Source organism: Homo sapiens, chromosome 6 (assembly GCF_000001405.40).
Source record: "Homo sapiens chromosome 6, GRCh38.p14 Primary Assembly".
Classification (NCBI taxonomy): Eukaryota; Metazoa; Chordata; class Mammalia; order Primates; family Hominidae; genus Homo; species Homo sapiens.
The window spans coordinates 29,600,606-29,624,162 of NC_000006.12; the positions used below are offsets into that span (position 1 = coordinate 29,600,606).

Sequence of the window (23,557 nt, forward strand, 5' to 3'; positions counted from 1 at the left end):
GTAAAAATCTTACAAGTTCTCTTCTAAGTACCTTTTTAATATTCTCAATCTCACTCCTTCCCACCCCTTTGCACTGGGCACTCTGCTAGCCGCACCGTTTGGCTCTCGACTCCTGCACTCCTGCTAGCAGAGTGTCTGGCTTACCTTTGGCCACAGTAGAACTTTTCACCCTTTGTTTATAATTTACAGCCCACTTAAGTGCAATGCAAGTTTGAGATGATAATTTGGGTCTTTTAGGTTCTACCCAGGGCTGTTCTATAGCTCCTGCTACTGTTGTTTCTTTTTTTTTTTTCTTTTTTTTTTTTTTTGAGACAGTCTCACTCTGTCGCCCAGGCTGGAGTGCAGTGGCACAAACTCACTGCAACCTTCATCTCCTGGGTTCAAGCAATTATCTGCCTCAGCCTCCCGAGTAGCTGAGATTACAGGCACCCACCATCACGCCCAGCTAATTTTTGTATTTTTAGTAGAGACAGGGTTTCGCCATCTTGGCCAGGCTGGTCTTGAACTCCTGACCTCGTGATCCACCCACCTCAGCCTCCCAAAGTGCTGGGATTACAGGCGTGAGCCACCACACCCAGCCTCCTGCTGCTGTTCTGATGCCAACTATTCATTTTCCAAACTGCAGGCTTATCTACTCCATAGACTTCTTCTCTTTTCCTAGCGGATATTTCACTGTGGGAAGAAGAGAGACTCAAATTAAGTCCAACTGGTCCAAGGTGGATAATCACAGTGGAAAGTTTTTCAAGTACTGGTCTAAGATTCAACCAGCCCATGCTTTAGTGGAAGTTCAGAAATTGGCTCTTAACAGGTCAGTGAATGACAGGGCCCATCCAACCCTTGCAGCTGTCTTACAAAAATCTGAGAATCACTTTAAAAATCAGTGCCAAAATAAAAGAAAATTTGAGCTTCAAAAAAGCACTCTCCAAGATGACACAAAAAATGTTTAAAGTCTCAGGCAAATGTTTTTGCCCTTGTCCATTCAAGATTTTTTTTCAGTTTGATAGCAAATTATTTCCAAGATGCTCAGAGTTCCTAAACAAAGATGTTTAAGGTTGGAAGCACTCAGCAGCCATCTCATCCATTACCTTCTAGCAGTCATCATTCTTTTACTCTTCTTAGTTCCTGGGAAGGAGCGTCCCTAGAGGGGATGCTTAGGCACTTGCTCCAGGCTCCCAATACATGCCCACTACTGTCAAGGAACTCATTAAACAGCAGGGACAGAGGCTAACATTCACGCAACATATACCATGGCCCAAGGGCCAACCTAGGCACCTGAATGCACAATTTATAATAGTCTTTGTACCCAACCTATGGAGGAATGTATTACTGTTATTCTCATTTTCATAAATGAGGACATGGGGAATAGAGACTAAGAAAATGTTTGCATGTGGTTGGATCTGATACCCTGGCAGTCTGACTCCAGAGCCCACACTTTTAACCAGTAGTGTCCTCACTCACTAATCTCAGACTTAATCATGTCCTGCTTCATTCTGCTAAGCCCTCAATGGATCAATAAAACACCTCTTTTCACCCTCCGCTTTAATGCCTTTTCATGAACTTGGAGTCCTCTGAACCTCCCTTCTTGGATTGAAGCCCATTCTGTTCACAGGAAGACTGCAAGGTGCCGAGTCACACTGTTCACTGGTTTATTGAGATTCGGGGAGATCCTTCCCCAAGAGACACCACAGTGTGAAAGGGACACCACCTCCCACCCCATAGGTCCATCTGTCTATCCCAACAGTCAAGGGTGCCTTCCTTTGGTCAGGATTCTCATCAACTATCCACTGGAAGCAGCTCTCCAAACCTGCCCCCACTTATTTTTCCTTAATTCCCCTCAAAAAAACACAAAACAAAAGGGAGCAGTCTTGGGAGAAGATGATTGTGAGTGTAGACTGAGGGTAGTACATGAATGCAATGGAGATGGGGGGAATCTGAGCAGAAATGGAGATTCTGTGACAAGGAGAGGGTGTGGATGGCCCCACCAAACATGAATTGGGGAAAAGTGCATAACAATGTGCAGGGTAGGGTACATATGGCTCTGTCAGAAGAATACCATGATTTAAGGGAAGAAAGTACACAAGGTACATGGAGGGTACACAGGGAAAGTACATGGATAAACATGGACGTGTGCAAATAGGAAAGACATGACTCAGCATGCTAGACAAATTGCACATGCCTACCCAAACACGCTCAAGGGCAGACCCATGACCATGAGAGGGGCACACGTAGCTGTGAATGCAGGGCACCCGAGAGCACATGTGACTGAACATGAAGAAAGCATACGGGAAAAGCGTGTGTACACATGAGCATGTTCAGTGGGCACACGCAGGAGAGGGGAGGATGCATGTGTGCTGAGCGTGAGTGCACAGAGCAGAGGCAAGGAGCATGTGAGCCTTGGCGAAAAGAATGAGCTCCCAAAGGAAGCAAAATTCAGGGGGAGCCACATGTGAGAAAGTATAGAAGGGCAAGTAAGATGGAAAGAGATTATGACAGTGGAGAAAAGGAGAGGCCCCTTTGGGGTGGAAAGAGCACTTGTTGGGAGACCCCTGCTGGACAGGAACAGAGCACAAAGGCAGAGGAGCTGCAGGGGTTGCCGTGGTAACTAGAAGAGGGTGTTGCATGGGAAGAGAAAGATGCAGTGAGGCTGCTGAGGAGGCAGCGTGTGAGCAGTGAGCAGCTTCAAGCCAGGTACGAACTAAATTGTGAAGAGGTGATACAAAATTACATGAAGCAGTAAGAGAGAAAAAGGTCTGTTTCCCAGAGGTATGAGAGACCCAAATCAGCCCAGAACTCACAGGGGGACATGTATTTACAAGAGATGAGATTGGATAGCATGTTCTTCCCAGCTGGGGATGGGGACCCCCTGCTTCCTGAGTCCCCTGCCCTTCCCCTCTCCCTTTCCCTCCCCCTACTGGCCTGTCCTCCCTCACCCTACCCTCACTTATAAAGCAAATGCACTCGACTCCCATCACAGCTAAGCCGGTCGGGGGGCTCAGGGGGTCCCCTGGGCAGGCCCCCAGAGGGTTCTGGGGGTGTCGGTGGGTGGCGCCGGGAGCGGAGCTGCTGCCGAGACTGGAGTTGATGGCGCAGTTCAGAGACACGCTCCTCTTTCTGGAGGAAGAAGCACAATTGGGATAGTAGGAGAAGAGGAGGTGATGAAGGAGTGGGGAGGAGGGAAAGAGAGGAAGGGCACAGGGAAAGAGAGGAAGGGCACAGAAAAATGTAGGGGGAGGACGTAGGGTAAGTGGACAGAATAAATTAAAAGGAGAAATCAAAACAGAACAAGAAAAGCCAGAGAACATAAGGATACCGATAGAAAAAATGCGATCAGGGAAATAAGAGAGAATTTAAAAACAAAAGGAAAAAGTGGGGAAGGAGAGAAAAGTCAGTGCACAGAGCTTCCAATAAATCAGAGAGATGTGTCAACCCAGTTGGAACATCCCTCTCTTTGGCATTGCACCAGCCCCTAATGACAGCCTGGGGCACAGTGAACGCCTGCCCAGGTCCTTTATGCTGGGGCTGCATGCTACACCCAGCTGCTGTGAGTGTTGACTACTAGAGGCTCACAGCTGCCTCTCTCCAGTTGTCACCTACAGCCAACAGCCATCCTCTTGCCTTAAGGAGGCTGAGTCAACCACATAGCTCCCACTCCAGAGCCCTTCCACCTGCCAGGCCAACACTGGATTTTGCCTGAGATAGAATCTTGCTCAGCCCTTTCCCCTCCCCTATGCTGCTCCATTCACTCCTTACAGGTTGTCTCCTAGGACCCTCCCTCCATGAGCCAAGAACATCTGACCCTGTATCTCAGGCTTGGCTTCAGACAACCCAAGCTAAGACGCAAGCCTCCTGGACCACTCCAACACCCTACCCTGACACCCACCCCCGCACCTCAGCAATGATCTTTTCCAGTTCACGGTTCTCCTTCTCCAACAGCCGGGACTTCTCCTCCTCGTTGTTGTTGGTCGATGACCCTGTCTTCATGGTGTCCTGCGCCTCCGACTGCCATTCCCCTCGGGTGATCAGCCTGCGCATCTGGGGGCAAATGTTTGGGCGTGGGGTGGCCCAGCAAGGACTGTACTAGTGACTGGCTGATGGAAGGTTGGAGGTGGAAGGAATGCTGATAAGAGTTGGGCCCAAAACAAGGGGAGGAGTGAGAGGAGGGTGAACGGAAGGGCAGAGGAACTCAGTAATATAGGAAGGAGGGATGGAGGGAACATGGGAACAAAGAGGGTGGGAGAAAAGCCAGATCCTTACCTTGGGCACAAAGAGCACAACAAGAGTGATATAGGAGGAGAAAACTATGGCAAGAGAGGCAAAGGCAAAGGCTGCATCCTGCTGGCTGGACAGAATCATGGTGACAGGAGCAGTGATGAGGCACAGGACCTAGAGGGAAAGACACATTGAGGGAGTCTCAGGTCTGCAGGCTCAGACAAGATCCAGAGTTTACTTCCCATGGGAGGGAGTCTATGCAGACAGTTTCCTGGTGAACTTTCCCTTTGAAAAGGATCCAAATTCAGGATCATCCTCAAATATAGATTGAGAAAAATCTCAAACTGTCCCAAACCAGTTTTCACTCTTGGTTAACCCCTCCCCTCAAGGCAGGAACTCCCAGGATCTCTATGCACAGATTCCGGGTCCTCCAGAGTCGGTCCCTGGCAGGAAATGTCAATAGAGTCCAGCCCATTAACCACAGACAAGCAATTTAACGTCTCTGTGTTTCTGTTTCCTCACCTATAAAGTGGGGATACTAATATCTACTTCACTGGGTAGTTGCAAGATTAATGATACAATGTCTGTAGTGAGCTTTGTAAACTGTAAAGTGCTTTATAGACCTGAAGAATTAACAAACTTTTTAAGACTTCTAAGCAACCGATCCCAGATCTAGCATTGATTCTTCCTAGTCCTCTATATCTGGGCTGCTGTGGTCAGCCTACAGGGTCAATGCCATGGGGTCAGTGCTCACTGCCACATTGTAGATAGCCATGCCCACAGCCCGGTGATCATTGATCTTCTCAGTGGACACACTCTTGGTCTCATAAGCAAGGAAGATTCCCAGCAGCAGCAGCAGCCCCTTGTAACCATAGAAAATGCCTAGGATGGCAGGAGAGAGTCACTTGAGCAACAAGGACCACAATGCTCCTCACTCAATCCCCATCCCCTCTCTGCCCTTCACCTACTCTGAAATGGAAAGGGGGCCCTCCTCTCCAATCCAACCCCTCTGACCTAGCAAACCTCACCCTGTGTCCCCTATCCCTTATGTCCACCCAACTTGCCCAGACCACATCACTTTTTCCTGGGATTCACACAGGAAAGCAATGGTGGCAAGCTGCTGTCAGTCAGGCAAGGGCTTGTTGAATATCTAGAAATAGGCCAGTCTGGGCCACACATGCCTCACCCTTACCCTACAGGTGGGAAGGTGGCTTTCCAGGCAGAGGGTAGGTTTGCAATTTGTGACCATGAATCGAACAATGCTAATAAGGCCAAGGGGGATCTAAAAGATAATGTCAAGTCTGGAGGTGGGGTTACCCCCACTTGTTCCTCTGCTGAACACAAGTTCTTCATCTGTGCTTTCTGTGCTTTGGGCCCTAAGCTCCTCATAGCAAAAGAGCAACTCTCCCCTATTCTCAGAAAAGATTAGTGCAATAACAAAGAGTAGGGTGTTCAAACTGGGTTGACAAGCTCTCTACCTCCTCTTCCAAAGACCCCTCTCCCTCCAAGCCCTCTACCCCTGCCTTCCCTCCTGCCTTTGTGCATCCCTGCCCTCCTTTGCCCACATCCCACACACCAAGCCATGTATTCATCTTCCTGGAGCTGCAATGCTCCAGCTGGGGCAGAATAGAGACGTCAATATCTTCCTTAGGTTCCTCCTTGGCAAATGTCTAGGGCAGAAACAAGGTCACAAGAAAGATGGTTGCCAGCCTCCCCTCCTCTCCTCAACGCTTCTCAGTCTCTGGCTTCCAACTGTTTTCCTATGAGACCCTCAATGCTGATGCCAAATCTCATTCTAGGCCTAAGAATGTTTTCCTGAACCCTTGGAGGTGCTTGTTCCCCACTTTCCCTGATGCCTGGAAGTTCTACACACCCTTCCCAGATTCCCACCCCTTCCTTTCTTCAGCTGAATCTGGAGGCCTATGAGGGGCTCCTTCTAGGAAGGAAAGGAAGAGCTTCCAATACGAGGAAGGCACTCTCTCCAAGTAGCTTCATCCCTCAAGACACACACAGCCCCAGGGCCCTGATGGCCACTGAGCCCTGCTCATTCTCCTGACCATAGCACCTCCTCTCCAGTGGTACCTCAATGGTCCGGTGCAGAGGGTCCACGATCTGCCAGATGGCGAGAGTGAGGACATCCATGCCCACCAGCAGGCCCACTGTGGCATACAGCTTCCAGGGTTCCAGAGTCTGGATAAATATGTGGGGAGAACAGGCACGTCAGGGGAAAATGCTCTGTGCCCCAGGAGCCAAGGATCTGGGGGCTGAGGATTGGGCAGCAGCTCACCTTCCTCCACTCCTTCTTTTCTTCCTTCTTTGTGAAGACCGTGTGGACCCACCAAATCTTGGTGAACATGGAACCGTAGCCCAGACTAAAGCCCAGGCCCAGGAGCCAGAGGCGGGCCTAGAAAGGAAGAGAGGGCACAGGCAGAACAGGGTAGAGTAGTAGCCGGGACTGCAGTAAGGATGGGCAGAACCCTAAGGGAGAGTGGGCAGGGAGCACGGGCAGGGAGCTCATGGTGGCACAGGGAGGATGCGAAAATGTGAGCAGGACGGGGAGCGGCAGGAGGAGAGCAGTCTCCCCACCTTGAACAATTCCTCCCATCCACCCTCTACTTCCACACCACCAGGGTGATCTTGCTAAAACCTCCTGGCTTTAGTGGCCAAAAACCTCCAACCACTCCCCAATATCTATAAGTTATAGCCTGAACACTTCTGGATATGACACAGACCCTTCACAACATGCTCCCATCCACCTGTCCAGCTAGGCTCATCTCCCAGCCCCACACCTACCCCACGCTCCAGCCATGCTGAACTACTCACTTTCTCTTCATCTACTCTCTTTCATGTATTTTCTAGCCACACGATGCTCCCTATGCCCCTGAAGTAGCCTTCCTCTATTTCTCTAGCTGATAAAATCCTATTTGTCCTTCAGTATTCAAATGCCACCTCTTCAGTGAGGTCCACCCAATCACGCCAGCAGTGAACTGTGTTCCCTTCTTTGCCCCCAAAGCACTTTGTGCAGATCCCTACTCTGGAACCTCTCCTATTGCACTACAGCTAATTGTCTGCTTCTCCAGCTGCACTCTGGCCTCACTGGGAACAGAGGATTCCTGATGAACTGCATGTGCATGTGCATGGAAATGCCATGTGCACAGATGTATGATCAGGACAGCACAGAGCAGAGGAAAAAGAGAGAGCAAGGACAGGCAGGCAGATCAGGAGAAAGAGTGGGTGTTTCCACCAGTGGAAAAGAGAACCACTCAACTATCACTGTTGAAGCTGGCCTCTCCCCACAGCACTAGAACCTTCCATGTACCAACAGTCCCAGAGCCCCTCCTCCCTGTGTGGCAGTGGTCCCTTCCCCCCAACTCTCTGCTGTGTTTCCATCTCTGCTTCTATCCTTCCAAACCCAACAAAGGCTCCCAAAAAAAGTCCACAGTTCTGATTCTCAGCCCCCATACCACAGACAAGCCACCATTGTTCAGGAGACCTTTGAGCAGATCCCCTTCCTTTGCCTTCAATGGCTCCCTCCTCTTCTCTGCAAGGCCTGCCATGGCAACCTTGGAACTGACAAGTAAACTACAGAATGAAAATGGCCTGCAGACACAGAAAGAAGGGACAGAGCCAAACAGAGAACAGAGGGGTGATGCTAGAAGGAAAGAACAGGGACAAGAGTCAGGGAAAGCTGAGGAGGAAGGGCAGAGAATCATAAATCATGGAAGGTGCTCCTGAGACGGGTGGGAGAGTCACATCCTGTAAGGAATTTGCCCACCACCTCCTCACCTGGCAGACGAAAGGAAACTGGTTCCTCCCAATGTGGTAACCATCGAGCCCCAGGGGGAAGACAGCAGCTAAAGCCAGTGAGCAGCCCACAGCAGTCAGGTTGTTCAGGTTGGGCTGTGAGTTCTGGATATAACTAGGGCAGAGGTGGAGAGGGTGAGAGGGAGAGAGAATTACCCCTCTTCTCCAGGGAGGCTGAGCTCTCCAAATACCACGCAATGGCATGACCCTAATTTCAGGGCCAGGGGCTAAAGGAAGACAGGATTGGAGAAGACAGTGGAGCCTTGAGAGGCAGAGCAATGCAGTCATGGGGCTGAAGATGGAGTTGCAGAGGGCTTCCCAAGCACAGGCCCCCACTAGAATACAGGCTATTTATGTAGAGTCCAAGACTGTGAGACCTGGCCCCAAAGGTTGTTTTTTTCTCTTCTTTTCTTTTTTCCTCCCGTTAGCTACTTTGGAGTAGGAGTGGGGGTTATATCTGGTTTCCCTGTTTTCATTCTCAACAAGTCAGAATGAAAAACTCCATGATACATGGCCATGGGAGTTACACAGGTTTTATTCTCATCCTGTCCAGGAACATGATCAGTATCTCAGAGAGGCAGACAAGGAAAACGTCAGAAGAGAAACTTACCGGACATGTGAGTTGTAGATGTTAAAGGACAGACAGACAACAGCTAGGACAATGCCCAGGCTGGAGAGAACTGAGACGGAGATAAAGAGTTTCTGTGACAGGAAGCGGAATGTCTTGATGACCAGGGTCTGGTCAGCTGGGGGGGACCCTCCTGCATGGCACAGGGGAGGAAGAGGGGAAGGGAAAAGAGAAGGGAAGGAGGACAAAGGAATGAAGACGGGATAGGAGAAAAGGGCAAAGAACTAGATTGCTGATGGACATTCAGTCATTGGCTGGGGACATGAGGCCCTAACTGCACTGGACAGAGGTTACTGCAGGCAGAATGCTCAGTGCCACTGGGGCCGTTAGGAAGCAACCAGAAATGAGATGAGAAGATGGAGTGAATGGTCTATCCATAGGTTGGGAAATGCTGAGGCATGTCCCCAAAGTTGTAGTCTTTGTTTTTGTTTGTTCTTTAAGTTTTTCTGTCTTTCTTACAGCAAAGGAAAATGGGAGGAGAAAGAAGGGGATCATTAAAAAATGTTATAAGGTTTCTTATAACCCAAATCAAAGTTTTAAATGACAATTATGGAATCATAAAGCTAAAAAGGCCTTGAAGTATCTAGTGTGGACACCTATTCTTAAGACAAACAAAAAAAGAAGGAAAGCTAATCTGAAATTTTAATCCTGGCAGGGTAATATTCCCAAATATGTTTTCCAGTTATTATTAGGGGGAAGTTCAAATTTGTCAGAGTTCACCAAAAAAAACTAATTTCAATTTGCTTAGTTTTTTTTTTAAAGAATAATTTAGGCCATGCAGCATTTATAGCAATCCAGAACATTGTCCTAAATTCGAATTGTAAAAAAAAAAAAAAAAGGGCAAAACTCCAGCAGTGCTGGGAATGACTGGATATCTGCTGGGCAGGGCAGACGGCAGCCATCTTCAATGGTTGAGCCTCCCCTTCATTCTCAAGGAGGCTTTCTTTTATCAGTAGGTCCTTCCTTTTGTCCACCTTCAGTTTCTCTCCTATGTCCTATCATTTAGACCAAGTACACAAAGAATAACTGCTTGCTTTCTCTCTTTAAAAAGTATATTTTGAGGGATGTAATACTACCTATTAGGTACAAGGTGCACTGTTCGGGTGACAGGCACACTAAACGCCCGGACTTCACCACTATGCAATATATTCATGTAACACAACTGCACGTCTACCTCTAAATTACATAAAAATAGGAAAATTTTTAAAAATACATATAAAAATAAAAAGCACATTTTGGCAGATGACAATTACATGAGGTTTTCCCTCCTCCTCCATAGTTTAAGCAACCGTTTTCCTGACAGAGACAGACAAAGAGACAGCTCTGGGCTTGAAGTAGCTGGTTCAAATATATCAAGACACCAGGACATCTGGGAAACCCAAATGGAGTTTCCATTTCCCGCCCTCTGCCCACCCCCTGCCTCTAATCCCCAGTTACCCCAGCAATGCACCATTAAAAATAGTACTAACCACCGCCTATTCCCTCTCCAAATACACCAGTCTCCCCTACCCACGCCTTAGGGGTTGTATTCACTCTCACTTAACCCTTTCTCCTGGCCCAGCTGCCAGCCACATTCCAACCTAACAGTCTCTACCATTCCATCCTCACTCAAAGGCATGACTTTTTCCCTTGACTGTCGAGAGGGGCTGAAGGAAAATACAAACAAGATCCACTCACCAATCCATTTATCTGTTTTGGACCAGGAAAGATCATCCTTGGTGCTGTCATAGTAGCCAATCTTCTTGTAGCTGCCACCTGGGCAGACGACAATAAAAGGAGTGACCACAGGTAGCCAAAGAGCTGATCCTAGGCATTTTCAACTTCCCACTTCCCTAGAGCTTTGCATGGTTGTATCTGATTTTATTTTCACCTGAGGCCCTAAGGATGCTTGGAAGGACCTACGAGACTCTTGAATCAGCAACATGACTTAAAAGCAATATAAGGTGGTTCCCAAGACAACTCAAATAAATAAGAATATCTATGTTTAAAAGTCTTCAGTGAGGAGGCTCCACAACATGTCTGCCACCTATTCCATTCCTCACACCTCTCTCGGCGAGATGTCTCTCACTTTGATTTTGGCTTCTAAAGCTTTACACATATTTCTGCTTATTCTTCCTCTCATGATGGGCAGGCTCTATTTTCCCAGTGGCTTTCATTTTAATTTTAGAACATTCTCTTCTGTTGGCTTGGGTTTTAATTCCTTGGATAAGTTATATCTGCCTCTTAAAGCGCCATTGAGTAAAATTTGGTCATTTCTAAGATTTCTGTTCTAGAACTGTTTCCGTTACCATAACTTTTCCTTCAAAAGCCAACTCACACTCCTTTCACCATGGCTGAAGTCCATTTCCTCTTGTCCTGGATACAAAGAGGAGCTGAAAGGATGTGGAGGTGGGGAGAAAGGAAGAAAGAAACTTTTCACAGGAGGCCAAGAAATAGCTCTCTTGGCCATGCCGTAAAAGACTGAGAGCCGAGTGGAGCAGAAAAATTAACTCCTAGAAGTTCTGCAAATACCTGTGTGCTAAGTTTCAAGAAAATACAATCTACAAAAGCCAAGCTATACACATTGAAGCTTTACACAGCAAGGAAATTTGGCAGATTCCCTTAAAAAAAAAATAGCGGTTCTCCTAGATTCAGCTTTCTTGAGTCTAACTGACAGGTCATCAACCTCTCAACCCAAGCCACTCAAGGGGAAATTCCTGAAATTAATGGAAGCCACTGGGAAAGAGAGTAGCTGTTTTTAATTTGCATGTCTCTTTTCTTTTCTTTTTTCTTTGAGACAGAGTCTTACTCTATCACCCAGGCTGGAGTGCAGTGGCGTGATCTCAGCTCACTGCAACCTCTGCCTCCTGGGTTCAAGTGATTCTCCTGCCTCAGCCTCCCAAGTAGCTGGGACTACAGGCACCTGCCACCACACCCAGCTAATTTTTTTTTTTTTTTTTGTATTTTTGGTAGAGACAGGTTTCACCATGTTGGTCTGGCTGGTCTCAAACTCCTGACCATGATCATGATCTGCCTGCCTTGGCCTCCCAAAAGTGCTGGGATTACAGGGGTGAGCCACCACACCCAGCCTGCACACCTCTTTTCAAGAGCAAAACCAGTGCAACTCAAAGACATCAATCTTCTTGTAGTTAAGCTTATTATTATTATTATTTACAAGCTTGATGAACAGAGTTAAAAGAGAAGGGCAGAAGTTGGGAGGTGCCAGGGCAATCTTGTGATGTCTCTGGCATTCTTCCCCAGGGGGCATCCCAGCCCAGCCCCAGCCTAGCCCCCATGTCCGGTCCCCTCCTGCCCCTGTACTAACCCTGAAGCTGCTCGATAAGCGTCCATGCCATCCGAGAGCCGCTGGCATCAAACACCACATGGCCCTGAGGGAAGGAACATGTGGAGCAAGGCAAAGGAGACAAAAGCAAGAGTGAAAGAGAACATCAGGGACTCTTTAAATCCTTCTGTTTTTGATGTAATTGAGCCTCTGAATGAATGCTATTTATGGCATTTGCCTGCATATAGGACATACCCCAGATGCCCATACCCTAGATTTTAGAAACATTATTCTTTGGAGAAGGAGCTTCACTTATGAGATTTGAATGGGAAAAAATCCCCAGACAGAACACCAGCAGGCTTCTGGTTGTGTGGCCTAAGCAAGTCAGCAAATCTCTCTGGAAACTAATCTTTTCATTTTAAAAGGAATAAGAAGATGACCTTTCAGACTGTTTTGTCTTTCAAAATCCTATAGTTCTCATCTGACTCATGAATACTTGGTCTAGTTTGAAAAGAAATGAGGGGAGGGGTTTAAAAAAATGGAATACATCATTTTTTTTCCTCTAGTCTTTGATGGGTTCTTCTAATTTGAAGGTCCCTACTTCTCTGGTCGGAGACTGATTCTGCAAAGAAGTAACTGAGAAAAACAGAGAATGCATGTTTGTAGAAGGTGCCTCTTGGGAGTCTCTCTCAAGATTGGGAAGACAGGGGAGTATGAAGGAAGTTTTAACTCACAGAGACACCCTCAAAGGACGAAGAGTTCATTGCCCGGTAGATTTGGTCGGTAATGGTCTGGTTGTTGTAGTTGAAGTCCTCCAGGCGCACACCAGAACGGCCGCCTCCTCCAGATGTCTTGTTCAGGGCCAGTGCCAAGGCCCAGATGGCATCATAGGCCAGCGGTGCCTCCTGGAAGCCTCCTGTCTCCTCAGGGTGTCTTTTCAGTCGCTTGGTTAGTTTCTCCACAAATTCCTGGGATGTCTTGGGAGGAAAAAATCATGAGGAAAGAACTGAAATGTGTGTGGGTGTGGGGGAAGGGGTGCAATCCAATTCTGACTCAATCACTTCTACTTGAATGGATGGTTTGTGTTACTGTTGTCAGATTGGACACATGTACATTCAAAATCTTTAACTATACCCATGTGTCTGCCTTAGATCGGAAGCTACTAGACTAGAGTAGGTATTAGCTGTGTCTGATGGTGTTAGTGTGTACAGTTGCTAGCTCAGAACTGCAAACAGAGAATTTTGACAAACACTCTGGATAATTAGTGGCAAAGGATGGAAGGTAGAGCAGAGTAAAGGAGGAGACATGGATATTCCAATGAAGAGCTGTGACACTGATGTTCTCTGATCCTTCTGACTTTCTTCATAGAGTTAACCCAGGATCTAACAGCTCCTACAATTCCAAAAGATTCTAGAAAAGGTGATAGCAGTCTTCTCACTCTGCTTGCCAGCCAGGAGGATATTTCTTCAGCATGCTAACTTCTTGCCATTCTTGTGTGCTTTTGGTTCACTGCCTCTTAGAAGGCTTTCAGAAGAATGAAAACTACAGAAATACCCTTCACATTTTTGAAGTCCATTATCAATCCTACCCACACCCCTCCCAACACTCAACCTTCTTTTTCCATGAAAGCTAAAAAGAATGATAGTTCCTTTAACTCTCTCATGAACTGGGTCAAGAGACCTGACTTCATATACCTTGCAGTAACCTTGTTTGGCTAAATAACTGTAAGTAAATTACTTAACCTCTTGGAACTGCATTCTACATACTGGAGAAAATCACATCATTCCTTCCTTACCTCACAGAAACCATACAAGGAAAAGCTTAGCAACTACTTCTTGGGAAACCACAAGTAATACACAGGGGACCATACAAATAATTGTTTGGGTTTGGAATGTTTTAACACAAACGGTAATGAAAGAATAAATAGATGAATGAAGAATAAATAAATAACTTTGTTCCTCATGCCTTGCTCACTTTTCTCTCCAACTTTCTAGAGAGATAGAGGAGTGAGATACGCAAAGGGCACAGGCAAGGTACAGCAGTTGCTACTACACTGGGCTTTGAAGGAGCCTGGGCTTTGAAGATGCAATGGGCCTAGGTTCTACCCTTGAGGACAAGACCAAATCCCATGCCCTCTCTTAATCATCAGCATCTAGCACTGTGCCCAACCATAATGAAGTAACAATAAATGTCCATTGGATTAGGCCAGTGAAAATACTCTGTAAAGTATTTAATAGTAGATACGTCTCATTATACATTTGTCCAAACCCATAGAATATATAACACCAAGGGTGAACTCTAATGTAAACTATGGACTTTGGGTGATTATGATGTATCAATGTAGGTTCATCAGTTGTAACAAATGTACCACTCTGGCGGAGGATGTCGATAATGTAGAAGGCTATGCATGTGGGAAGCATATGGGAAGTTTCTGTACCTTCATCTCAATTCTGCTGGGAAACTAAAACTGCTCAAAAAAAAAAAAAAAAAAAAAAGGCCAGGCACAGTGGCTCACACCTTTAATCCTAGCACTTTGGGAGGCCAAGGTAAGCAGACTGCCTGAGCTCAGGAGTTAAAGACCAGCTGGGCAACATGGTGAAACCCCATCTCTACTAAAATACAAAAAATTAGCTGGGCATGGTGGTGTGCACTTGCAGTCCCAACTACTCAGGAGGCTGAGGGCTGAGGTGAGAAAATCACTTCAACCCAGGAGGTGGAGGTTACAGTGAGCTGAGATGACGCCACTACACTCCAGCCTGGGCGACAGAGCAAGACTCCGTCTCAAAAAAAAAAAAAAAAGGCATTATAAAAAACAAGTCAGGCTGGGCACAGTGGCTCACACTTGTAATCCCAGCTCTTTGGGAGGCCAAGGAGGGTGGATCACCTGAGGTCAGGAATTCCAGACAGCCTGGCCAACCTGGTGAAACCCGTCTCTACTAAAAATACAAAAATTAGCTGGGTGTGTTGGTGGGCTCCCGTAATCCCAGCTACTTGGGAAGCTGAGGTAGAAGAATCGCTTGAACTCAAGAGGCAGAGGTTGCAGTGAGCAGAGATCACGCCACTGCACTTCAGCCTGGGCGATGGAGTGAGACTCTGCCTTTAAAAAAAAAAAAAAAAAAAGGCAGCCAGGCACAGGGGGCTCACGCCTGTAATCCCAACATTTTCATTTTCAGAGGCCAACGCAGGAGGATTCCTTGAGCCCAGGAGTTTGAGACAAGACTGGGCAAAACAGAGAGGACCCAACTCTACAAAATTTTTTTAAAAATTAGCCAGACTTGGCCTGGGCACGGAGGCTCACATCTGTAATCTCAGGACTTTGGGAGGTCAAGGCGGGCAGATCATGAGGTCAGGAGTTCAAGACCAGCCTGGCCAACATGGTGAAACCCTGTCTCTATGAAAAATACAAAAATTAGCTGGGCACGGTGGCTCACGCCTGTAATCCCAGCACTTTGGGAGGCTGAGGCGGGTGGATCACCTGAGGTCCGGAGTTCGAGACCAGCCTGAGCAACATGGAGAAACCCTGTCTCTACTAAAAATACAAAATTAGCCGGGTGTGGTGGCGCATGCCTGTAATCCCAGCTACTCCGGAGGCTGAGGCAGGAGAATGGCTTGAACCTGGGAGGCGGAGGTTGCTGTGAGCCAAGATCGCGCCATTGCACTCAAGCCTGGGCAATAAGAATGAAACTCTGTCTCAAAAAAAAAAATACAAAAATTAGCTGGGTGTGATGGTGGGCTCCCGTAATCCCAGCTACTCAGGAGGCTGAGGCAGGAGAATCGGAGAATCGCTTGAACCCAGGAGGCGGAGGTTGCAGTGAGCCAAGATCATGCCATTGCACTCCAGCCTGGGCAACAGAGCAAGACTCCATCTCAGAAAAAAAAAAAATTAGCCGGACTTGGCTTGGAGCAGTGGCTCACGCCTGTAATCCCAGCACTTCAGGAGGCTGAGGAGGGTGAATCATGAGGTTAGGTGTTCGAGACCAACCTGACCAACATGGTGAAACCCCATGTCCACTAAAAATACAAAAACTTATCTGGGCATGGTGGCACGCACCTGTAATCCCAGCTATTCAGAAGGCTGAGGCAGGAGAATCACTGGAACCCAGGAGGCAGAGGTTGCAGTGAGCCGAGATCACACCATTGTGCTCCAGCCTAGGCAACAGAGCAAGACTCTATCTCGAGAAAAAAAAAAAAAGTTAGCCAGACTTGGTGGCATATGTCTGTGATCCCAGCTTACTTGGGAGGGGCTGAGGTGGGTGGATGACTTGAGCCCAGGAGGTCAAGGCTGCAGCGATTGTACCACTGCACTCCTGCCTGGGCAGCAGAGGGATACTCTACCTCAAAAAAAAAAAAAAAAAAAGGCTGGGCGCGGTGGCTCACGCCTGTAATCCCAGCATTTTGGGAGGCCGAGGCGGGCGGATCACGAGGTCAGGAGATCGAGACCATCCTGGCTAACACGGTGAAACCCCGTCTCTACTAAAAAAAAAAAAAAAAAAAAAAAAGTCTGTTGGATAGATAAATGGATGAATTCATATTCTAATCATTTTACCTGCTATGAAATCTCAAACAAGTTATTAAACCTCACTAGTTGGTTATTCAGCTTTAAAATGAGAATAATACTATCTAAAATAGTATGAAATGAAATTAGAACATGTATAAAAATGCTGGGTATGAAGTAAGTTACATTTTCTCTACGTGAATTTCCTTGACTCTCAACCTCATCTTTGTTATTGATACTCAGATCTATAATTTCAGCCCAATATTTCAAGTCCATATTTCTTTTCTTTCTTTCTTTCTTTTTTTTTTTTTTTTTTTGAGATGGAGTCTTGCTCTGTTGCCAGGCTGGAGTGCAGTAGTGCGATCTTGGCTCACTGCAACCTCTGCCTCCTGGGTTCAAGCGATTCTTGTGTCTCAGCCTCCCAAGTAGCTGGGATTACAGGCACACGACACCACACCCAGCTGATTTGTGTATTTTTAGCAGAGACGGGGTTTCACCATGTTAGCCAGGCTGGTCTTGAACTCCTGGCCTTGTGATCCACCTGCCTCAGCCTCCCAAAGTGCTGGGATTATAGGCGTGAGCCACCGCGCCCAGCCTCAAGTCCATATTTCTAACTGACTCTGAGGCATTTTTAATGTATGATGAATAATCTCAAAATCAAAATATCCAAGATGAAGCTCAATTTTTTCTTACTCCCAAACAGCTCCCAGTAAATGAGACTGAAGCCTTGGAATTACATCAGACCCTTTCAAATCACTGAGTCCTCTTAACTCTTTTGTTGAAATGTTTCATTGATATCGATCCCTCCTTACACAGGATGATGATGATAATGATAACGATGATGGTGGCTAACATGTATACAGTCCTTAGGACGTATCGAGCATTTTCCTGAGGAAACTATATTACCTTATTTAATCCTCAAACAATCCAATGAGGTGTTATTATCCCCATTTTAGAGATAAGAAAACTGAGGCACAGAAAAGTTATATAACTTGCCTATAAAAAAGTTATACTATTAATGAGTAGCAGAGCTAATCCATACTCTTACCAGCCACCCTACACAGTCTCTGTACATGAGACTGCCTCTCTCTAAGAGCACCTGCACAAATAGCAGCTAGGCTAATACTTTGAGTAGTCTTTTGGCTTCAAATTGAAAGATTGGTCTATCCAATCTTCAGTTCAAGGTAAATATGGCATCAAAAAAATCACCCAGAAAGAAAGGGATTAATCTGCTCAGCACGATGCGGTCCCCTGCTCAGGTGGTCAGACCCTGTGCTCACGCCAGGTCACTACCACTAACACGCCTAACCACTGGGGGCACCACTGCTCCTGCCACCCCAAGAGTAAAGAAGAGTAGAATGCTTCCCCCTTGAGTCAGTAAAGATACAGTTATAGATTGTCAAAGAGACACTCTACTCTGCAGCTTAAGGAAATCTGAACAATAAAGACCCCTCAACCCACAGCAATTAGTTAATCAACCAAGTGCAAATTTATACCTAATTTTTTTAACAGCCTTGTCTGGCTCTCAAGAATGGATGCTTGACAGTGGGCTAAAATGTATATCTTGAGGTAGCTTTTTAGTTTGTACTGGTCCTAGGTCTGATGGGATCTCTACCCCAATCAAGATTTCCTCACAATCTTATCTCCAGGATGCCACCTCCCACATTCCCCTCTAGCCCACAGCTACATTTCTCTAAAACCACTCTAACCCACTCTCCATTTCCACATATTGCCCCTAAAGATGTTTTCTCTAAACTAGGGTTTCTCATTCTCTGCACTATTAACATTTTGAGCAAGATAATTCTTTGTTGCCAGGGGCTGTGCTTTGTAGGATATTTAGAATCATCTTTGGCTTCTACACATTAGATATCAGGAGCATGTATCCCTCCCCATCCCCTACCCCCAACTGTAACAACCAAAAATGCCTCCAGATAGTATAGCGTCTGAGTCTAGGGTAGTAGTTGAAAACCACTACCCTAACTAATAGTTCTCGAGGTGTGATCCCCAGACCAGTACATCTGCATCCCCAGGGACTTGCTAGAAATGTCAGTTCTCAGGCCCTAGCCCAGATCTACTGAATCAGAATTTCCAGGGGAAGGGCCTGATAACCTGTGAACTAACTACCTTTCCAGGTGGTTCTGACGGATGTTAAAGTTTGAGAACTATTGATCTAAACATAAGGCCATCCTTAGGGAATAAAAGCAACTCTGCTTCTTTTCTAAGTCTCCATGGCTCCGGCCCCCTAGGTCCAACCCTTGCTTTGATCCACTTCTATTTGTGCTGTTTGATTAATCTATAATCTCTTTTGCCCCTAACCTATTGTTAAGACTGCTCTATCCTCTTCAGAAAACATTGGCTTCCCCACTGGCATTTTAGGCTGGTCCCACTGGAAGCCCTATGGCCTCAAAAGCAGGAACCATCTTTCTCTAGACACAAAGTCAGAAAGGGACCTTCCAAGTCTTCCCACCCCAATGCTCAGGTGTCCCTCTATGTCCCTAACCATCTCTCTGTTCTCTCTCTCTCTCTTTTTGTTTAGAGCTGGGGGTCTCACTATATTGCCCAGGCTGGTCTTGAACTCCTGGGCTCCAGTGATCCTCTGCCTTGGCCTCCCAAGGTGCTGGGGACTACAGGTGTGAGCCACTAGATCCAGCCAAATCCCTGTTTTCTGTCAGCCTCCTCTAGCTCCCTGCTATAAGACAGAAGCAACGATTGGCAAGTCCTGGGCTCAGGGCACCAACAAGTCTTTCTGGCTTTGGTAGCCAGTTCCAATACTTTCCCAGGTTTTATGGATGACTCACCTCTTGGGTACTCTACAGGAAAGTGATCTTCCAAAATTTTTTCATTGTATTTTTCAACTAACATACCTTAAAACATAGAGTCCATTTAGAATGTCCCAAAACAGTGTGTATCATCAGAGTCCATGTGGCAGCAGATCTTTCATCACAACACACCACCAGAGTCAACTTCCTAAATCTTATTTCTCCTTTGCTCAGCAATTGCCAGTAGCTAAACAGTGTTAGCAGATAAAAGTACAAACTTTTTAGTCAGGCTTCATGGTTTTCCATGGGAAGTGATGAGCAGAGCAGTTTGGAGCCAGATTTAACTAGGATTCAATTCCAGCTGGACTGCTGAGTAGCTGCATGACCTGAGACAAGTCATTAAACCACTCTGAGTCTCATTTTCCTGGTCTACAAAATGTAGATAAGTCCACATCAGAGTTTTGCTGTTAGAATCCCTGAAATCATGAATCTAAGTACCACACAAATGCCACTGTTAGTAAAACTTTTTAAATCAAGCTATTTTGGGGCTTTACAACCATTAACTCACCCCTAACATGCTCTCCAAAGCAGGTACACACTTGGTGTAATAAGCAGACACATAGGTGGCCGTATCGAGCTTACCCAAAATTCCTGTACTCTTTACAATGTAGTGCTGAGCAACAAAGAAGCCTCTTCCCCTGTGCCCACACCCACACTCACTTCTGCCCCTCAGCTGCAGGGCTGCCCCAGCCCTCTCAAATCAGAGAATGCGCCTCCTCGCTCCAAGTCTGTCATTAACCAGCTGTCTGGGGCTAAATGATTTCAAAAGCCCCTTCTCCACATAAAATTCTAAAAAAAGAATCATTAAAAAAAGCAACAGGATCCAAGCTAATTGCATATCAATCATGAGTGAATATTAAGCAACTCTAAAACACTAACATAAATCACCAAGAAAATGAAATGCAATTCTGCCCAGACACAGTGCTCCTGTAAAGGTGTGCTTGAGTATACAAGCATCCATATTATCATTAATGCCGGTTCCTCCTGACTTCTCACCAACTGCTCCTCGTCTCCATGGTAACAGCCCTTCCACTCATCAGGAACCTACTGAACATACAACTCCATCGTTTTTTTTTTTTTCTCTCTCTACCCAAGGAAGTCAGAGCAAAGGTAGGATCCACAGGAAACATAATGCAGACAAGTTCAGGGTGGGCACAGCCCCCTCTTCTCCTTTATATCCAAATTCCGCACCCTCTCCCTGCCACCCTTTCCCCTGCAAGGCCCCCTCAGTCCTCTCCACCCTCCCAGGTGCCAGACTGCAAGTCCCCACACTCTCACCATGTTGGAAATGCTGCGGGTATTGGCAGGATTCAGCATGACAATCTCAGTTGTGATGTGGCCCTCCACCGCCTCAGTCATCTCATCCACTGTGCAGTTGATAGAAGGGTCGTAGATCTTGAACCAATTGTCAGCATACCACCCAATGAGGAACCAGACGTACTTCTTCCCAAAGAGACGCTCCTTGTACACCTGAATACAGAGGAGAATGGCTGAGTTTTTGTTTGCTCATTTGTTTGTTTTTGTCTTATCTCACTTGATACTATTTAGCCTCTTGGGAATCAGGGAAGAGCAGTAGAACTAAAAAGAGAAATCTACAAGTCTTGGGGATAGTAGGAAAGGCTGACAATTCTTCCTTCTAAGTTTCTCCCCAGCCCCTGTATTTCTGAGTGGCCTTTTCCAGCCAGTCAGGACAGATGGAATTCATGGGCTTCTCAGGAAACACAAAGCAGTAGAAAAATGAGATCTGAAGAAAGTATCATGTGTGTGCAGACAAGGGATGCAGTCAGAGCCAACAGACAGAGACATCCTATGAATCGTCACCTCAGATCATATGCTATCAACTCAGGCACAGATGCCAAGAGGAGGCCCCACAAGAAAACCAAGGGAAACTCCCACCCAGTGCCCCTCCCTCTTCAGATCCAACTCCACCTCACAAAAAACTTTCCGGGCTTCAGTCTCATAGAAAAGTCCCACGATGATTCGGGCATCCTGGCGCTACAACAGAGAAAGAAACAGCTCCTGAGGGATGCCCGGGAATGCCTGAGGGGCTAAGCCAGATGTCTTCACAGCTTTGATTTCCCATCCCAAAGTGCTTAGTGCAGGGTAACGCTCAACGTATAGTGAATAAACGTCAACTGGAAGATGGAGCTAAACTTCCCCAGGAGATGCTATTGCCTCAGAGAATCAAAACCTGCCCCCGCCTGGCTTTCCTCTCCAACCAGTCACTGTCCCCCAGCTTGGTCCCTCCGTAAACAGAGCCCACCACTCCCAGCCATCTGACCTTCAGGTTTTTGACGGGCACAGCTGGATCTGAGAAGAAACTCTGGCGGAAAGTAATCTCAATTCCAGCCTCCTTCACTCGTTCCTCCAGGTCGTCCAGAGTCTTGGGTGGGAATAAAAAACAAGTTGGAAAAACACGGGGTGCATGAGGGAATAAAGACCAGAGAGGTTAACTGGGGATTTCAGAGCAATACTCAGATAGAGCAAAGAAGCAGCCATTCTGAACCTTCCTTCAACAGCTTCTGTCCCTGAAGTGAGGAGTTCGGGAAGGCATCTGGTCTTAGGATGTGGATTCCAAGTGGGAAGGTGAATGGTGAGCCCCTGCTGAGGCTCTGTGTGGGGGAAGCCACTCCATTCACCCACTCCTACCACTGAAGGCAAAGATGGGGTAAAGAAACATAAAGGAACCAGGAAAAGACAAGGCAAGGACTGGGACAGACAGCATGATGTCAACCTCAAGAGGCAAATGGGCAGACAGACAAAGGATCAGAGAAGAATGGTCTGAATCAGAGTGAAAGTGGGGGAGGATTAAAGGGCCACTGAACACAGTGGATAGAAGACCCAAAGAATAGAATAAAAGGGAGGGAGCAGACTGCCTTCTTCAGATGTAGAGCCTGTATTTCCTCTCTACCTCCCCAAATCTCCCTCTTCCCCCTCAACCTCTCCTTGTCTGTCGGCTTCTCTCTCTTAGTACCAACTACCAGATCCATGCAGCTGCCTTTCTGCCCCTCTCTCTCCTCTCCCTCATTCCTCTCTCTCTCTCTCTTTCCTCTCCCTCTCTCCTCTGTAATCCACTGGCTCCATCCCCTCTGTTCCCATTCACACCCACCCACCACCCCCCTTGAAAGCCTCTGGAATCTGCTGCCTTCCTGGATTCCTATCTCATCTTCGCTCCCATCTCTTGCCCCCACTTTGGATTGAACCTACTTTAACAGAACTGAGTCATTCTGGGTCTATATGTCTGGGGAACAGGGCATCAAACAGGGGAAAAAAATCATAAAATCATAAAGACAGAGAGGATCCCAAAAACTCAACTCATTCTTTCCCCTGGCTACAGAAAGAACTGCACTTAATCCACATGGAATGCGTTCTCTTTCAATGAAGAATCAAGTTCTTGCCCCTAAAAGTGACTCTCACGTCACATCTCCTGGTGCTGGAATTTGAGCTTATGTCCCTTTACCCCTTGCCCAACCCCTCCTCACCGAAGTGAAGACCTCAGTGGTCTGCTGGATGGTAGCAATCTTCTTCCAGCCCCACTTTTCAAAGAGTTTCACGCGGGTAGGGTTGTGGAGTGTGGCTGATGGGTGCGTTCGGAAGAAAGTGGGGAAACGCTGCCGGTTTGACAGGGCTGGTGAGCTGGAGCCATAGGAAAGCTGTGGGGCAGGGAGAGTGAGTGCAACAGGGTCTGTTCACTGAGGACACCAAGAGTGGCCAAGAGTTCCTTTAACCCTCTTCCTGCCTTTGGGTTTCTCTTCCTTACTCTCTCCAAACCTCCCCACCTCTGGTCTGCCTAAGGAAAAGAGATTCTCAAAGGCCCACACACCCCTCACAACCGGGATGCTCTTTCACTGATCTAATTTCAATTCCTTCTGAAGAAGGAGGTCAGCTGCAGCACTGTCAGGCCACTGTTGCTAGGAGGCTGCCTAGCTCAGGTCTGCAGAGGACTCTGAATCTTAGTAGCAGGTCCTCCACACTCCTTTTCAATACAAACCCACAATCGCCATCGTCCCTTCAGTAGAGCTCAAAAGGGAATGACCCCATCTTCTGACCCCCATAGCCCTGCTTACCACAATGAGGTTCCACATCCTAGCAGCCTCAGCCACCAGCGTGGAGACAGAGCTGCAGCCAGGCATAAGGATGATCTTGATAGGGTCGTTGTAGAGCAGCTCATATAGGTACTTGGTGGCTTGGCCTGGATCACACTGAAAGACAAGAGGAGATGAGGGCAAGCTCTCCTGGGGCCCCTCCCCTGTCTGCAATTCCTGCTCTTATCTTTCTCGAACAAATTAGTTCCTTTCTCAATTACTCACTTTCATCATTAATTACCGTTTTCTTCTCCT

At 47.0% G+C, this 23,557-nt stretch overlaps 1 protein-coding gene across 12 annotated transcripts in view, besides 2 other annotated features; it reads right to left on the reverse strand.

The window, feature by feature from the left end:
• Positions 1,633-23,557, reverse strand: part of GABBR1 (gamma-aminobutyric acid type B receptor subunit 1) — a 30,946-nt gene continuing 9,021 nt past the window's right edge. For 9 of the 12 annotated variants that reach the window (NM_021904.4, NM_001319053.2, NM_001470.4 and 6 more), the window contains 17 exons: positions 23,285-23,419; positions 22,700-22,870; positions 21,499-21,600; positions 21,147-21,212; positions 20,496-20,687; positions 12,638-12,880; positions 11,946-12,009; positions 10,319-10,396; positions 8,624-8,774; positions 7,996-8,128; positions 6,497-6,613; positions 6,292-6,399; positions 5,786-5,879; positions 4,964-5,091; positions 4,255-4,383; positions 3,889-4,032; positions 1,633-3,111 (listed from right to left, as the gene is read on the reverse strand). In NM_021904.4, coding sequence (NP_068704.2) covers positions 2,938-3,111; positions 3,889-4,032; positions 4,255-4,383; positions 4,964-5,091; positions 5,786-5,879; positions 6,292-6,399; positions 6,497-6,613; positions 7,996-8,128; positions 8,624-8,774; positions 10,319-10,396; positions 11,946-12,009; positions 12,638-12,880; positions 20,496-20,687; positions 21,147-21,212; positions 21,499-21,600; positions 22,700-22,870; positions 23,285-23,419 — 2,229 coding nt within the window. In that variant the 3' untranslated portion in view covers positions 1,633-2,937. Of the gene's footprint in view, positions 3,112-3,888; positions 4,033-4,254; positions 4,384-4,963; positions 5,092-5,785; positions 5,880-6,291; positions 6,400-6,496; positions 7,898-7,995; positions 8,129-8,623; positions 8,775-10,318; positions 10,397-11,945; positions 12,010-12,637; positions 12,881-20,495; positions 20,688-21,146; positions 21,213-21,498; positions 21,601-22,699; positions 22,871-23,284; positions 23,420-23,557 lie in introns of those variants that run through there. The other 3 variants (XM_011514455.2, XM_047418592.1, XM_047418593.1) reach the window with 3 other exon arrangements.
• Positions 21,074-21,624: an enhancer, noted in NCBI's record as "H3K27ac hESC enhancer chr6:29589456-29590006 (GRCh37/hg19 assembly coordinates)". NCBI's record gives its function as "activates a minimal SCP1, AML or CMV promoter by ChIP-STARR-seq in naive H9 embryonic stem cells {active_cell/tissue: H9 hESC(naive)}" and the evidence as "EXISTENCE:reporter gene assay evidence [ECO:0000049][PMID:30033119]".
• Positions 21,625-22,174: an enhancer, noted in NCBI's record as "H3K27ac hESC enhancer chr6:29590007-29590556 (GRCh37/hg19 assembly coordinates)". NCBI's record gives its function as "activates a minimal SCP1, AML or CMV promoter by ChIP-STARR-seq in naive H9 embryonic stem cells {active_cell/tissue: H9 hESC(naive)}" and the evidence as "EXISTENCE:reporter gene assay evidence [ECO:0000049][PMID:30033119]".